Raw genomic sequence first — 17,300 nt, 5'->3', positions numbered from 1 at the left:
TTCGGCCCACTGCCTAGATACAGCAGATTTACCAAGACAGAGGAATTGCAATAGAGAAATTTAATTCACACAGAGCTGCCTAAATGTCAGATGGGAGTTTTATTATTACCGAAATCAGTCTCCCAAAAATTCGGAGACTGGGTTTTTTTTTTGTTTTTTCCCAGAAGTCTCGCTCTGTCGCCTAGGTTGGAGTACAGTGGTGCGATCTTGGCTCACTACAACCTCCACCTCCTGGGTGCAAGTGATTCTTCTGCCTCAGACTCTCAAGTGGCTGGGATTACAGGTGTGCACCACTATGCCCAGCTAATTTTTGTATTTTTAGTAGAGACGGGGTTTCTACTAAAACCCCATGTTGGTCAGGCTGGTCTCGAACTCCTGACCTTGTGAGACTGGGGTTTTTTAAGGATAATTTGGCAGGTAGAGGGCCAGGGCTGATTGGTCAGGTCGGAGATGAAATCATAGGGAGTCAAAGCTGTCCTGCTGTGCTGAGTTGGTTCCTGAGTGGGAGCCGCAAGATCAAATGAGCCAGTTCATCGATCTGGGTGGCACCAGCTGATCTCTCCAGTACAAAGTCTGCAAAATATCTCAAGCACCAAGCTTAGGTTTTACAATAGTGATGTTCTCCCTAGGAGCAATTGGGATGGTTTAGAATCTTGTGGCCTCTAGCTACATAACTCCTAAGCCATAATTTCTAATTTTATGACTAATTTGTTAGTCCTACAAAGGCAGTTATATTTATAATTTTGGCACAGGCAGTTTTATTCTTAGGGAGGGACCTCAGACCTTCATTCTTTGAGCAGAACTGGAGTTTTTATCCTAAGTCAAATACAGTCAAGCAAGAGGCTGCTACAAACAGAAAAGAAGCCTTCTGTGCCTGGGAATTCTCTCCCCATCACACAGGACTGTCTGGCAGAACCTGCTCTTTCTTCCAGTGCCCTGGTTCTATTTCCCCAAATTCAGTGCTCCACAAAACTGCCTGAGAGCATAGAAATGAAGCAATTTCTGCTGATGAGTCCTGATTACCATGTCAGCTGTTGATTCTTCCCTTCCACAAAAGGATACATCAAAGCTCCATCCTACCTACTGAGTGAGAGGATTTGCATTTTAATCGCTGCCAATGAGCTGTGGTGGTAAACCATTTACTTAAAACCTCTAACTAACCTACCCCTTTTCACTCTCAGCATTTTGATGGGAAATTAATTCTGGGGTGTGTGTAGTAAGAGGGCAATAATCAGAAGAAAACACATACACACACACACCCTAGTCTGACACAAGCCACTGCCAGGGAGCAGCACACCCAGTCATGGGGCACGTGCCCCGCTGTTTCTATACATTGGCAAAACTCCAATCAGCTCCTACTGATTATTTCTCCAGGAAGCCATGAGTACAATAGACTGTGGTAGTCATTGAGAATGGGAAGGGGGCACAGAAAAGACGGGCTTCTAATGATAGGAGAATTTAGCGGTAAGCAACTCTCAAATATTCTTCTGCAGATTATCCTACAGAAAGGGGGTGGCTTTTCATGACACTCTGGAGGCCTAGGGGCTCCTTCTTTCCTCTTCCAATTTCCACTTGAGGAATAAAAAAGTGATTTAGAAATAACCCAAGGAAAAGCAAATCAGATATGTCAATGGATGTAAAAGGAGACACTGCATAAATGTGCTTCAAAACTCCCAAATGGGGCTGCTCATCTGCCACTCACCTGAGAAATTCTGAGTCTGCAGGGGCAGACCACCAGGTGCTTAATTTGCATGGAAAACTTTAGAGCTTCTGGGAGAAGTAGAAGCACCCTGGACTGAAATGGAAACTCTCAAGCCAAGAGTAAGCCATAAGCTCTGTGCATGTTCAGGGGTCTGACATGGAGCACCAGCTGAGAAACAGAAGGAATGAGGAGCTGTGGAGTCTAACACTAGGGCTTGCCCACAAATGCTCTCTAGCCTAGGCTCTGCCCCATGTCATTGTGGGAGGCTTATTAGAAGTCTTAAGAAAGCAGATTACCTGGAAGCCAACACTCTCCTATGTAAGGATAAAAAAATATTTTTCCTCCAACTTTCTTAGGTTCATGACTGAGGCCCCTATAACAAAAGGCACATTAACAAGAGAAGAGCATACAAATGTAGTTAATGTAAGTTTCACATGATACAGGAGCCTTAGTAAGGAAATGAAGACTAAGAAATGGCTAAATTTTATTTTATTTTATTTTTTGAGATGGAGTCTCACTCTGTCGCCCAGGCTGGAGTGCAGTGGTGCGAACTCGGCTCACCGCAAGCTCCACCTCCCGGGTTCACGCCATTCTCCTGCCTCAGCCTCCCAAGTAGCTGGGACTACAGGCGCCCGCCACCACACCCGGCTAATTTTTGTATTTTTAGTAGAGACGGGGTTTCACCATGTTAGCCAGGATGGTCTTGATCTCCTGACCTCATTATCCACCCGCCTCGGCCTCCCAAAGTGCTGGGATTATAGGCGTGAGCCACCGTACCCAGCCAAATTTGTGTATTTTAATGCTAGGTTTGATGAAGATTGGACAGTCATGGAGAAATAGATTTGGATAAAGTGAGTATGTTCTAATGGTAATAAACTGAGGGGAACTTAGCAAGACCTATTTCTTCTGTGTGATCCTTCATCTTCTGAGATAAGGATGTTCCCTTCTTTTGTGTATAGAGAAGGCACCTCTCACATGAGAGTTTTATGACCTGCTTCAGGGGAGAAAGGTTGGGAGTAACTTTCCTGCTTCTGCTGTTTTCTCAAATGCCAAGGTGCCATGTTTTGAGGTAGTGCTCCTGAACCCCCAACACCTACCTGAAGGACCAGTGTTAACCCAGGAGGAAAATGCCAGTGCAAGGAGGAAGGGATAGGCTACAAGACTTGGGATCCATTCCAATAGGAAGACAGTGATTCAACTGTTTCCTAAGACCCTGGCCATAGATAACAATGGAAACCACAGCCAAATATAATGTGAAGCATCACCAAACAGAATGTTTGGAGCCTTGGTTGTTCCACAACACTCACTGTTAATGCTTCAAGACAGGCTGTCCAGTTCCCAGCTCCTACAGGAGAAGTTCAATTGGGTCTTTTCACAAAGCCTTGTAAACTGAAGGGCCCCTGGTGGCCCCAGACATACTCAGTCAGCTCACCTGGTTCCAAGAGCAAGGACACCTGGTTCAAGGACAGGACCAGTGGCCTCTGTTTTCCCACCCTGGACTGGGTTCTTCAGAGTTACTGATCATCTTGCAACCACGTTCCTCTAATCACAGAAGTCAGTGGGAAAAATTACTTCCTAACAAAGCCCATGACCCGTAAGAGGTTAGCATGTTGCATGAAGAATGTAAAAGAAAGAACTAATCTATAAATGAGCTTCTGTATCCTTTCTTCATAAATCGAGCTTAGTAATAATGAAGGCCACAGGTTTATAAAGAAATAAACAAAAGGTAGAAGGTGAATGTGTTCCGTTATACTAGCTGTATCCCACTTTAAGAACAACTATATAAAAACAAAGAAACAGGGAGTAGTGATTCAAATAAATACTTCGCACCAGAAAAAGCAAAAGCTCTTTAAATATGAGGGCTCCCCGGTGCTAGAGTTTATTTAAAGAAACATTAACTACAGATATATCACTGAATATTAAAAAAATGAAAAAAAAAGCCTGTGACATGAAAACGCAAATCAACGGGAAGCACAATTTCATTTATAAAAATGTCATTAATATGCAACTTTTCAGGAACATAGCTGCTTCATAAAAGAAGATGTGCCTGGGCTCTGCAAAATCAGAAGGTTCTAGGGTAGCTGCTTTTCATTAGAAAATAATTTTCACAGGCCAGGCATAGTGGCTCATGCCTATAATCCCAGGACTTTGGGATTTGGCTTGAGGCCAGGGGTTTAAGACCAGCCTGGGCAACATAGCAAGACCCTGTCTCCAAAAAAAAAAAAAAATAGCCAAGCAAGTGTGCAAGTGTGGTACTGTGTGCCTGTAGTCCTAGCTACTTAGGAGGCCGAGGTTGGAGGATCACTTGAGCCCAAGCACTTGAGTTTGCAGCGAGCTAGGACTGAGCCACTACACTCCAGCCTGAGCAACAGGATGAGACACTGTCTCAAAAATAATAATAATGAAATAGAAAAATATGAATTGCTCAAACTGACTTAAGAATGAAAACATACCAATAACCCTGAAAGGTACTGAAAAGTTTTCAATGAATCTACTCCCAAAGAGATTTCATGCCTAGACAAACTTAGAAGTGAATAACATCAGACACTGATGCAGACATTTCATATACTACTTTAACAGTTCCATAATATTTTTTAAAATGGAATCCTCTCCAGTTGTTTTATAAAGCTAACAGGATATCAAGATTGAAATTTGGGGATGAGACAAAACAAAATTACAGGCCAACCACTCTCACTTAGAAATCCATATATTTTTTAACCCTAGGGAAAAAAGCAGTATGTTTAAAAATACCATGGTCACGGTAGGTTTGTAATAGGAATGAATCCGTATGGTTTGCCTCTGGAAAACTGATGACTTTAAAATATAGTATCAATAGGTCAAAAAAGGAATAGGTACTTTAAAAACAAATAAAATTCAACACTTATTGCCAATTTAAAGGGGCTAGGATTCCTTAACATGAGTTTTTAAAAACAAGTAAGTAAAGCTTGTTCAACCTTTCACTATACAGAGATTTCCATTAAAGTCAGAATTAAAACAGGTTAACATTCAACTATTGTATTGTTCTAGATGTCCTAGCAAAGCAAAAACAAATGAAGCAAAACTACTATCATTATCTGTGGATGGTATTATCTAAATAGAAGGACAAGGAAAATCAAGCCAATGGAACATAAGAGAATTCAATAAATTGCTGAAATATAAAATACATAAACCAAAATAAATACCTTTAGTGTAGATCAGAAATAATCAGCTAGAAAATTTGTAAAATATCCCAATCACAAAAGGAGAAAGGAAAAGACTCAGAAATAATCTTAAGTTTTAGCAGAATCTATTATGAAGACAACCACAAACCTTCATTAAGGGAAGTGATGAAAGATTTTGAATAAGCAAAGAAAAAATATATTATTGGATAGAAAGACACATTATAAAAATATCAATTATTTACAAATTAATTTATAAGTTTATTACAATTCTAATTAAAACCCTAATGATTTTTTGAAAGTAGCCAATTTCAAATATATATCTGGAAGAATAAGCCAGTAAGAACAGCCTAAGAAAGATCTGAAAACAAAGAACCAATAACTAATAACTTACTCCAGATACTTAGGCATTTTGTAAATCAAAAATAATTAAAACGGCACAGTATTGATGTAAGAATTGATTGAGAAATCAATTAAACAGAATATAAGAATTTAATATGTGAGGCCAGGCACCCTTGTTCATGTATGTAATCTCAGCACTTTGGGAGGCCGAGGCAGGAAGATCGCTTGAGTCCAGGAGTTTGAGACCAGTCTGAGCAACATAGAGAGAGCTTGTCTCTCTTTTTATAAAATAAAAAATAAAAATAAATTTTAACAAAAGAACTCAGTACATGATCAAGATTGCATCATAATTATCATAATCACCAGTAATCCCGGCACTTTGGGTGGCCAAGGAGTTTGAGACCAGCCTGACTAACATGGAGAAACCCTGTCTTTACTAAAAATACAAAAATTAGCAGGGTGTGGTGGTACACACCTGTAATCCCAGCTACTCAGGAAGCAGAGGCATGAGAATTGCTTGAATCCAGGAGGCAGAGGTTACAGTGAGCAGAGATCGTGCCACTGTACTCCAGCCTGGGTAACAGAGCAAGATTCTGTCTCAAAAAAAAAAAAAAAAAAAAAAAAAAAGACATTATGTTTAGTTATCTATTTGTGAAAAAATATCACATCATATACTAAAATACACTTGAGATGGATTGAAGAGCACTCAACTTGCTGAGAGTAGTACAGAAAAATGGATCTCCTCCTTTGGAAGCGTTAATTGGCCCAGCCTTCCTGAGAACAGCCTGGGTTCATCTATTAAGCACCTGAAAAATGGTTGTGTGGTTTTACTCTATAACTCCTCTTCTAGAAATCTTTCTGAGAAAAACAATCAACAATCCAAACACATTCTTTACAAAGTAAATGAGCTAAGCATTCAACTCATGACAATGAAATAAAAAGGAACAGACCAAACCTAAAGAAACAATAAGGAAGGAAATAATGAGATAAGGGCAAAAATCAATGAGTTAGAAAACAAAAAGAAACAACTGAGAAAATAAAGCCAAATGCTGAAAAGATTAATAAGATCTCTGGCACCGTTGATCAAAGAAAGAAAAAATAGAAGGGAGGGAGAAGTGGAAAGAGGAAATGAAGGGAGTGAAGATGATGCAGATAAAATATAAAATAATGAAACACCAAAAAATTTTTAAGTAAGAGTTAAGAACCACAATATACTAATCAAACTGAAAACCTACATAAAGTATATAGATTTCCTAGAAAGCTATAAAATGTCAAGATGGGTACAAGAAGAAATAAAACATTTAAATAAGAACGAATAGGTGGTAAACTGAAATAGTCAAAGACTTCCCCTCCCAGGTGCTTTTTTTTAAAAAAAAAAAAAAAAAAAACAGGTGACTTCCTTCTATCACCGGGATTTTCCATGATGGGAATTCAATAGTTTTTATTCCGAATATTGCATTAAATTGACATGGCCAGAAAAATATATGGCATCCTTTTAGGCAGAGGCATCAATTCGTTCAAGGCCTATCACACAAGCCTTCTGATGCATGGTACATTGCATTTTCACATTAAATGTAAACAGAGAGGGGCCGGGCGTGGTGGCTCATGCCTGTAATCCCAGCACTTTGAGAGGCTGAGGGGAGTGGATTACCCCAGGTCAGGAATTCGAGACCAGCTTGACTAGCATGGTAAAACCCTGTCTGTACTAAAAATACAAAAATTAGCCAGGCATGGTGGCATGCACCTGTAGTCCCAGCTACTCAGGAGGCTAAGACAGAAGAATTGCTTGAACCTGGGAGGCAGAGGTTGCAGTGAGCCGAGATTGCGCCACTGCACTCCAGCCTGGGTGACAGACCAAGACTCCATCTCTTATTAAAAAAAAAAAAAAAAGTAAACAGAGACAAAAAGTTTTATGTCTACTAAACCATAAGGCACCAACCTAATGCAACAGCTGTGGATTAGCCACAGTACTGCAGAGCACCAGGGGCGAGGTCAGCCAGCATAGCGGATCACTATCACCACCCCAATATTTCCATATGACTTCAAGATATTCTAATTTGGTAGAGTTGGGGGGAAGAAGGGGTATTCTGTTGAGTCCCTGCTGTGGATTTGCTGAGAGATTCCATTTGACTAAGGCTGTTAAAATCAGTCTGCTGTCCCCAACCACGTGACAACCCCACTACTGCTGATAGAGACAGCAGTGAATGAGATGCCTGCTCTGTGCCCAAGGAGAGTAGCCACGCAGATGCCCACCAGAGACATTTCACTGAACAAATACACTTGGAGCCTCTAGTCTATTCTAGGCAGCACGTTTGCTCCAGACATGAATGCCCTAAAAAAGTTCAGAGTAAAGACGATTTTTCCAGTGACCTACTTCTACAATGTGGGTAAGTAGCACTTTTTCCTGAATTAGAAAGTGAGATGAGGAACCAAGAAGGCTCAACATTGTATCAGTTGAACATACTTAGGCATGGCATGGGGATCTGGCTCCCGTGAGGTAAACTGGCAAAAGCATTTGAGGAAGATATTTCTTGGGAATGGCCTGAGAAACACTTCAGCACTGACAATAAAAGGAAAGGCATTAAGGATTAAAGAAGCTTCAGGCTAGGAGGTGGTCAGCATGACAGCATCTGGACAGGTTAAGGTGCAGAAAAGTTTTGTACTATCCGCAAAGGAACCCCTCGCCCCGTTCCCAGAAGCTATCACAACACAAGAAGTAGAGTTGTAAAGTCTTAGGTTTAAGCTTCAGCTCTATTATTTCTATTATTAAATATATGACCTTGGACAAGTAATACTTTTGAGCCTCAGTGTCCTCATGTGGGTAAAGAAGTATAACACCCATTATAGAAGAGAGAAACTCCAGAGGTGGCTCCATCAGACTCTTCCTCTACATGCTGCTCCACCTGTAAAAAGGTGCAGTCTTTCCTTCCCTTCAATCTGGACTGGCCCTGTGATTTGCTTTGACCAATAAATGAGGCAGAAGTGACCTGTATAACTTCCCAGGCTGCACGTGCAACAGCTGGAACCCAGCTGCCCTGTAATAAATGTAAGAAATGTAAGCCACATGAAGCCATTTAGAGAGGACCATAGTACTCCACTTGACAGTCCCCAGCTGAGCTCTCAGCTGAAAGCCAGCACCAACTGCCAGCCACGTGAGTGAGCCACCCTGGATGAGTGAGCCCAATCGAGCCACCAGATGACTGCAGCCCCAGCTGACAATACATGAAACAGGAGAAATGCCAGCTGAGTCCAGTCCAGGTATATTAAAGTCAAAATCTCACAGAACACAAAAATCATGTAATCCAACACATCACCAGGCTAAAGAAGAATAAACTGATCAAGAGATGCAGAAAGAACACTTGACAAAATCCAACATCCATTGTGTTGGTTAGTGCTATGTGTCAACTTGACCAGGCCAAAGAGTGCCCAGATTAAACACTATTTCTAGGTGTCTGTGAGGGTGTTTCTTGATGAGATAAGCATTTGAATCAGATACAGTAGATTGCCCTCTTTAATGCAGGTGGGCACCATCCAATCCATTGAGGGTCTAAATAGAACAAAAGGAGGAGGAAGGAAGAATTCACTCTTATTTCTGGCTACTGCTTGAGCTAGACCATCTCAGCTCATCCTCTCCTGCCCTCAGACTGGGATTTACATCATAGGCTACTCCAGTTCTCAGGCCTTTGGACTTGAACTGAATTGCACCACTGGCTTTCACAGGTCTACAGCTTGCAGACAGAAGATCATGGAACTTCTCAGCCTCTATAATTGTGTGGGCCAATTCCTTGTAATAAATCTCCTTTTATATCTATATGTAGCCTATTGATTCTATTTCCCTGGAGAACCCTAACTAATACAGTCATTCATAACAAAAGCTCTCAGAAAACTAGGAATAGAGGGGAACTTCCTTAACTAGATAAAAAGCATCCATAAAAAACCCACAGCTAATGTCATACTTAATGGTGAGAAACCAGAAGTTTCCCCAGTTAAATTAGGAATAAGGCAAGGATAAGCCCTCTCATCTCTTTTTCAACATTGTACTGGAAACCCTAATTAATGCAATACAACAACAACAAAAAAGAAAAGGTATATAAGATTGAAAAGAAAGAAAGAAAATCATCTTCGCAGACGCCATGATTACCTATGTAGAAAATCTGAAAGAACTGACAGAAAAACTCCTGGAATTAATAAGCTATAATAACAAGATTGCTATAACAAAATCAATTGCTTTCCTATATATCAGCAATGAAATAAGTAGAATTTGAAATTTAAAACAATATCATTTACATTGTCACCCAAAAAATGAAATACTGAGCTATAAATCTAACAAAATATGTATAAGATCTATATCAGGAAAACAATAAAACTCTCATGAAAGAAATCAAAGAACTAAATAAATGGAGAAATAGTCCATATTCATGGATAGGAAGACTCAATATTGTCAAGATGTCAGTTCTTCCCAACTTAATCTATAGATTCAATGCAACCACAATGAAAATCCTGGCAAATTCCATTGTCCGAATGTACCACAGTTTATTAGTCCATTTGCTGCTTAAGGACATCTTGATTGCTTCCAATTTTTAGCAATTATGAATAAAGCTGCTATAAACATCTTTATTTTATGGCTAAAGTTATTTTGTAGATATCAACAAATTGACTCTAAAGTTTATACAGACAGGCAAAAGACCCAGAATAGACAACACAAATAACAGTTAGAAGACTTCTATCCAACTTCAAGACTTAATGTAAAGCTACGGTAATCAAGACATTATGGTATTGGTGTAAGAATAGACACCTCCCATTTTCAATATACTTTATTTTTTAAAAGTAGTTTTAAAGCCAGGCATGGTGGTGCACTCCTGTAGTCCCAGCTACAGGGTGCAGTGGCTCACGCCTGTAATCCCAGCACTTTGGGAGGCTGAGGCAGGAGGATCACCTGAGGTCAGGAGTTTGAGATCAGCCTGGCCAACATGGTGAAACCACGTCTCTACTAAAAATACAAAAATTAGCCAGGCGTGGTGGTGGGCACCTGAAATCTCAGCTACTCAGGAGGCTGAGGTAGGACAATTGCTTGAATCCAGAAGGCAGAGGTTGCAGTGAGCCGAGATGGTACCATTGCTCTAGCCTGGGCGACAAGAGCGAAACTAGGTCTCAAAAAAAAAAAAAAAAAGTTTTAGGTAGCACATAGCCACCAACCTAAAGACTATTTCCCAGCCTCCCAGCTGTGCCCGTGGGACTCAGTGCTGGCCAGTTGGGTGTGAGCAGGAGTGACTAGTGCTCCTTGCCAAACTGCCGCTAAAATAAAGGAGGGCCCCCATTCCCCTTCCTTTGGGCTGGAATGTGACCTGATGATGATTTATCTCCAACACTCAGACAAAGGCAACACTAAAAATGACAGAAGAAGACAAAACGAACCCAGATCTAATATGTCTCAGAGGAGTAATGATGAAAGAGAAATTTAAGAGTTTACTTTGAATTCTGAACGCAAATCCCCTCCACGGCCTTCAATAGCTTTTGAATCAAACCCACCAATTATAGAAGACAAGCCACAGCATCACCTAAAAGACCTAGGTTTAGGGTAGAAAACTCAATGGACTCAGGTCACTGATTCAAACTATCCAAGACATGGGGAAGCAAATCAAGGCCCACATCATCTTGACACTATTGGATCATCTTCTTGAATCTTCCACCTCTGCTCCTTTTTTTGACAGGAGTTTCCTTGTTTGATAGGAGGTCTGAAAAGCTTGGGGCCTTACCTCTGGAGACTTTGTAAACTTCATAGAAGGAATAGAAGTGGAAGCCTAGTGAGGCAAGTAGGTAAAGTGCCAGTTCCCATCGGGGCAGCATGGCTCCTTGGCACGAAGGTTCCCGATGCCTACGCTGAGAGTTTCTGAGAAACAGAGACAAAACTTTAAGCCATGAACATGACACTAGAGAACAGCATCTAAACATCAATTCAGTTAGTTCACACTCCCGGAGACCCATCACTATTCAAGGTGATACAGACATAACCCCAATCAAGCTTCCTCCTCCCTGTGAACTTACTCCATCCTGCATCCAACACACACACACACACACACACACACGCACACATACACCACACATGTGCATCCTGCCTGTCAAAGGGGTCAGGTCTTTTCCTAGGAGTTCCCACAGTCTCCCATCAGAGTATACATCAGACAGTTCTCTACCCATTGCATAATATGCCTGTCTCTTCTGTGGAGTGGACCCTCAGATAGCAGGGACCATGATCTCTGACTCACCAGCCCCTAGCACAGTGCCTGGGATGTAGCAAGAAGGGACTACCAGGTGCTCTGTGAATAATAAATGGCTTCAAAAAGTCTGAAAAGCACAAACAGTATACAAACCTCTAAATCAACAGGTTCACCATCCTTGTTGTCCCTTTCAAGTATCATACTATAGGCCAGGCATGGTGGCTCATGCCTGTAATCCTAACACTTTGGGAGGCCAAGATGGGAGGATCACTTGAGGCCAGGAGTTCGAGACCAGCCTGGGCAACATAGCCAGATCCCCTCTCTAAAAGCAATAATAAAATAAAAACTTAAAATCAGCTGTCTGCCATGCATCTATGCACTTTATTTATGTATTTTTGGAGACAGGGTCTATGTTTCCCAGGCTGATCTTGATTTCCTGGCCTCAAGTGATCCTCCCACCTCAGCCTCCTGAGTAGCTGGGTTTATAGGCACAAGCCACTGTGCCAGGCCTCATCTGTACATTTCTTAAAGGGCAGTTAATGACATAATCACAGACATCTGTGACAGACACTGCTTGTTACCCACCGCCCCTCACTACCCCTTTTCAGAATTCAGTCTCTCTTCTTACACATCAATTAAAATTTCCTCTGGACACCAACACTACACTGTAGCTAAGTGTGGACACCTGAATAGCTCCATTCAAAAGGGTGTGAGTGAAGGGACATGGCTGTGGCCATCTCTTTCTTTCCCTCCCTTTCCTGTTGAACAGAATTGGAACAGCCTCCGTGGATGAAGAGGTGAAAGCCACATGGACAAGACAGAGGCCTCTCAGTCCCCAAATCCAGGTACCACCCCCAAGCCCCAAAGTGCCCCAGACTACTTAGATCTAGACTGTTACAGGAAAGAGAAATGCATTTCTAGGTTGTTTAAGCCTCTCCTATTCTAGATCTCTCCATCATGGCAGCCATGACTATACTCTAAGTAATAGAGAAGGTATAGGAAAGTTAGGTCCTAAAATTCAGCAAATTAAATGATTCCAAATGTTCCAAGTAACAAAGAGTTCACTAAATTTAAACGCATTTATGGCCTTTACTGCTTTATTTAAACCTCTCAAGTATGTCTCATTGTGGATGCCAAAATAAGAGCAAAATTTTAAGCAGCACCTCCCACCAACCCCACCAAGTACTTCTAACATGTGACAGTCATGCCAAACCCCAGAATTCACACATTATCTCATTTTGTTTTCACAACAGCCTGGTGAAGTAGGTGGAAGTGGAACAGGGGAGGTAGGCATTTTATAGATGACAAATGTGATGAGGTCACAGAGCCAGAAATAACTGAGCCAGAGCAAAAAAGCAAATACTGCATGATCTCACTTATATGTGAAACCTAAAAAAAGTCAAACTCACAGAAGTGGTTGCCAGGGGCTGGGGCGGGGGAAGTGGGGAAGATGTTGGTTAAAAGATGTTGGACAGGATGAATAAATTCTGAGGATCTATTATACAGCATGGTGATTATAGTTAACAATAATGTATTATATTCTTGAAAAGTGCTAAGAGTAGATCTTAAATGTTCTCACCATAAAATGATAAGCAGGTAAGGTGATGGGTATGTTAATTACCTTGATTTAATCATCTCACAATGTATAGCTAGACATCACATTGTACACCATAAATATGTACAATTTTTGTCTAAATATGTGAGTAAACAAATAAGTAAATAACTGAGCCAAGGCTCAAAGCCAAGTCTTTGGACCCAGGCCCCTGCCCCTCCACTCTGCCATGGCCAATCCCATTAATGCCAGTGTACAGTTACTCAGACTTAGAGCCTGGCTTAGAATCTGCCGCACACACAAACTCCTTTCTTCAGACCACTGGGAGACAGAGCAGGAAGGGAAATAAACTTCAGCCTTGATAAACCACGATTTCAGAAATAAGCAGTCTTGCACCCAGAGTGCCCCATTTCGTTACCTAAAAGTCACCCAGAAAGTTTGGTCTGGACTTTTCCTGCAACCTAAGAGATCCAGAAGCAATCATTCATGCTTTAAAACACAAGCCTAAGCCCTAGTATTTCAACAACACTTTCTCAAGTTCCTTACTATTTTTCAGAACTGCTTCTAGCTTTATCCATTTCTATTCACAATTTATTTTTAAATACTTTCATCTTTAGAATAACAAGACTCCTTTCTGGAACTTTTCAGGAATTTGGTAGTCTTCCCTTTAGTGGGAAGGTAATTTTAACTTCTTGGCTTATAATTTAATGTCTCGCCTGTCAAAAGATGTTGGTATTACATCGGATGACCTCTTTGCCTCATGAAGAATCTGATTAGCAAAAAGCTGATCTCCTAATTGGGCGACTGAAATTTGAACACAAATGATCTTGTAGACTGAATGAAAGTTTTAGAAGGCCTGCCATTAGATGCTTTTCAGGGACATTCTATCTGAGACAATCCTCCTGCATTAAGGATTTAATCCTCAGGGAACTAGAAAATTCGGTTTAATAATTTTTCATTTTGGTGCTGCTTTTTTTTTTTTTTTCTTCCTGGAGACAGGGTCTTGCTCTGTTGCCCAAGCAGGAGTGCAGTGGCATGATCTCAGCTCGCTGCAGCCTCAACTTCCCAGGCTCAAGCAATTCTCCTGCCTCAGCCTCCTGAGTAGCTGGGATTACAGGCATGCACCACAATGCCAGGCTAGTTTTTTATTGTTGTTGTTGCCCAGGTTGGTCTCAAACTCCTAAGCTCAGGAGATCCGCCCACCGTGGCCTCCCAAAGTGCTAGGATTACAGGCGTGAGCCACTGCACCCAGCTTAGTGCTGCTCTTAGCTGGATTGTACAGTGAGTCCTTACTGAACATCACCAGTAGGGTCTTGGAAATTGTAACTTTAAACAAAACAATGTATAATGCTACTAATTTTACAATAGGCTAATTGATATAAGCAAAAAGTAAGTTCCTACTGCATATTTCTGGTCACAAAAACATCATACATCTAAATAAAGACCAAAACACTTCTAATAGTAAACACTGAAATAAACAAGAGCTATACACATACACTTAAAGATTAATAAGCACAGGTAAGATCATTATTTACCCAAGTTTGGTGAATCAGCAAGTGATGGCAGTTGTGATGGTGGTCGGTTAAACCAAGGAATAAAATGTTTGCAAAGCAAAAATTATAAGGAGCACCTCCTGCCACCATGCAGTTCAAAACATTTACAATTAGGGTGGGCTCACTGAGCGCTTTCATACTACATTTTTTTTGTCATGCATTTGTATGATTATCATAGACTTTACAAATTTTTATTAATTTGTATTCATTCATTCATTTTCCACCCCACTTGTTCCAATTTAGGGTCTCTGGTAGCTGAGCCCATTCCAGCAGCTCAGGATGCAAAGCAGGAACCAGCCCTGGACAGGATGCCATCCCAGCGCAGAACCCACTCATACTCACTCCCCCACACTCGTTACCAAACACAGGTTCAGCTGCTCACCACTTGCAAAACAAATTAGCAAGATAGAGGTATGGCAGAAAGAAAGTGACTTTATTACAGACCAAAGCTAGCCATGGGGAAGACGGTCTAGACTCTTGCCTTAATGGAACCACTTCAAATTTCCAAGCAAAGTGCAAAGGTTTAAGAAGGGGAAGCAAGTTGCGGCATGGGGTGAGGCAGTGCAGGCCGGCATGACTTGTTCCGATGCCGGCATGACTTGTTCCGATGACTCGTCTTGAATTGTTGCTCCATCTTGTGAACGGGCTGGCAACATCTGGGGCTCAGCTGGGTTGTAAATTAACTGTACCCTCAAAGCCATCTCCTGGTAGGGGAGATTTTCACAGGTGCCTGTACTATTTCAAGGTCTAGTCTCTGGAACCTCGACTTCAGGCTGAAGGAGCCTAAAGACCCTACTGAAAGCAGATAACAGTGGCCCCAAAGGCTCCCCAAAACGGGAGGCAATTGCAGGGATTTCTAGGAATGTCTGGCTTTTGTTGAATTTGAATTCCAAATTTGGGGTTGATGGCTAAGCCACTTTATGAGGCCTTTAAAAGGGACTAGATTCAGAGCCCCCTGCCTTGGACAGATGAGCATCAACAGGCATTTGATGCCATCACAGAAAAACTTAATAGGACACTCAGTTACATTCACACACTGGGACCATTTAGACACACCAATTCACCTAATGGGCACAGCTGTGGGATGTGGGAGGAAACCAAGTACCCAGAGAAAACCCCTGCAGACATAGCGAGAATGTGCAAACTCCACAGACAGTGGCCCCAGCAGAAACTCCATTTTCTTCTACTCAGTGGTATAAGGAAACAATAACATTGTTTCAATGAAACAATAACATAGTTTCAACAATGCTCTATGTTTTGTAGACAAATACACAGAGATACATAGTAACTAGCGGCAAAACACCAGGTAACTAAGCAGGGAAACTAGCTGTCCCCTCACCCCCAAAATTTAGGAATTGAACCAAATAGTCTCCACTTGACAGCACAGTGATACATTCTGGCACCAAACCCACCTGTGGGGTTCAGGGAGGAGGGGTGGGCTGGTGCAGGGAGAGTCCCAGGCTGTGTCATTTATTGGTTAAGGAAACGGGTAGATAACGGCCTCCCAGATGTTTTCTTATAGGGTTGTTGAAGGGGTTAAATGTAAAATGCTTAGCCCAGGGCCTGGCAGTGAATAAGCACTCAACAAACATTAGTAGTTACTAGTTAGTGAATTTCACTCATCAGGAGCCTACCTAAGCCCTGACCCTGATTTTCTCCCTGAATCAAAGAAATCTGGCTGAACTTCCTGGGGTATGCCCATCCTACGTGCATCTGGACCTCTTTCAGGAAGTTGGCATCCCCAGGGATTTCGTTAATGTCTCATTCCTCTTCTGACGCCCAATCCAAAGCCACCCTGGACAGCAAGCAAACTATCCCCGGGGACCACCCGCAGGCTTTCAGCCCGGTGCCTCTTCCTCACCACCTACGTCTCTGCTACTCCCAAGGGAATGACAGGCAGTACTTTCCACTTTCATTTTCACCTCTCCATTACACGAATGCCACCTCGAAACACCACCACCACACAGACACTCACCCATCCTCCTTAACAGAGCTTTCTTCCTCACACACTCTCTTTTCAACTCTTGCCTGTAGCTGACTGCAATGGTTACTATTTGAGACTGTCACTACGACAGTCACTACTGTTACTACTTGAGACAGTCATTAGGAGACTGAAGGAAGGAGGACGAAGGCAGAAATGAAAACTTAAAAGTAACTATTTTAAAGGAAGGGGCCAGGGGAAGAAGAGAGCTCCCTGCTTCTAGGGAGCAAAGGCAGCAACCTCGAGCTTCTACAGCCCTTTGTTTTTATTGGGCAGAAAGAGCAGGGAGGAGGAGGTAATGACTGGTCAGCTGCTTGATTGATCACAGGTTCACGTTATTGCTAACAGGCTTCAGATTTGCCTAATCACAAGAAACACTGTGCCTGGGTGGTGACTGCCCCCCAGCATTCTTTCTGGGAGGCAGACACAGTTTGTCAGTTTGCCAACAACCTGCTTTCATGAGAAACAGTTTGCTGTTTACTCATATAGTCTCCAGTGGTATACTGAGTTGATCACGACCCTCATTCTTTCGGCCTTCAACACTCGCCCACTTATCTTAGGAAAATTATTTCCCTACTTTGTTTTCCCTGTTTATTTCAGCTGTGCAGCCAGAAAGTAAATCAGAGTAGATATGTCTTAAGGGATTTATGACACAATGTAAAAGAAAAGGAAAACTATATATTTGGGAATATAACTGGAACCTTTTTAAAATGTCCAGGCCCTTAGAGGTTCCCAAAAACTCTCTCACAAAATTACCAAGTTTCCATTTCTCATACTCTAAACAAGCATGTCCCTCT

General features: G+C 41.8%; 1 protein-coding gene across 18 annotated transcripts in view; it reads right to left on the bottom strand.

Annotated features, from left to right (window-relative positions):
- Nucleotides 1–17,300, bottom strand: part of HHAT (hedgehog acyltransferase) — a 348,963-nt gene that overhangs the window by 316,266 nt on the left and 15,397 nt on the right. For 10 of the 18 annotated variants that reach the window (XM_047424804.1, NM_001122834.4, NM_001170564.3 and 7 more), the window contains one exon: nt 10,959–11,092. The exons of the other annotated variants lie outside the window; for them this stretch is intronic. In XM_047424804.1, coding sequence (XP_047280760.1) covers nt 10,959–11,049 — 91 coding nt within the window. In that variant the 5' untranslated portion in view covers nt 11,050–11,092. The remainder of the gene's footprint in view (nt 1–10,958; nt 11,093–17,300) is intronic. 18 annotated transcript variants of the gene reach the window in all.

This window comes from Homo sapiens, chromosome 1, assembly GCF_000001405.40.
Source record: "Homo sapiens chromosome 1, GRCh38.p14 Primary Assembly".
NCBI classification, from domain to species: Eukaryota; Metazoa; Chordata; class Mammalia; order Primates; family Hominidae; genus Homo; species Homo sapiens.
The sequence above is the reverse complement of the archived record's forward strand: the minus strand, read 5'-3'. Positions and strand labels throughout refer to the sequence as shown.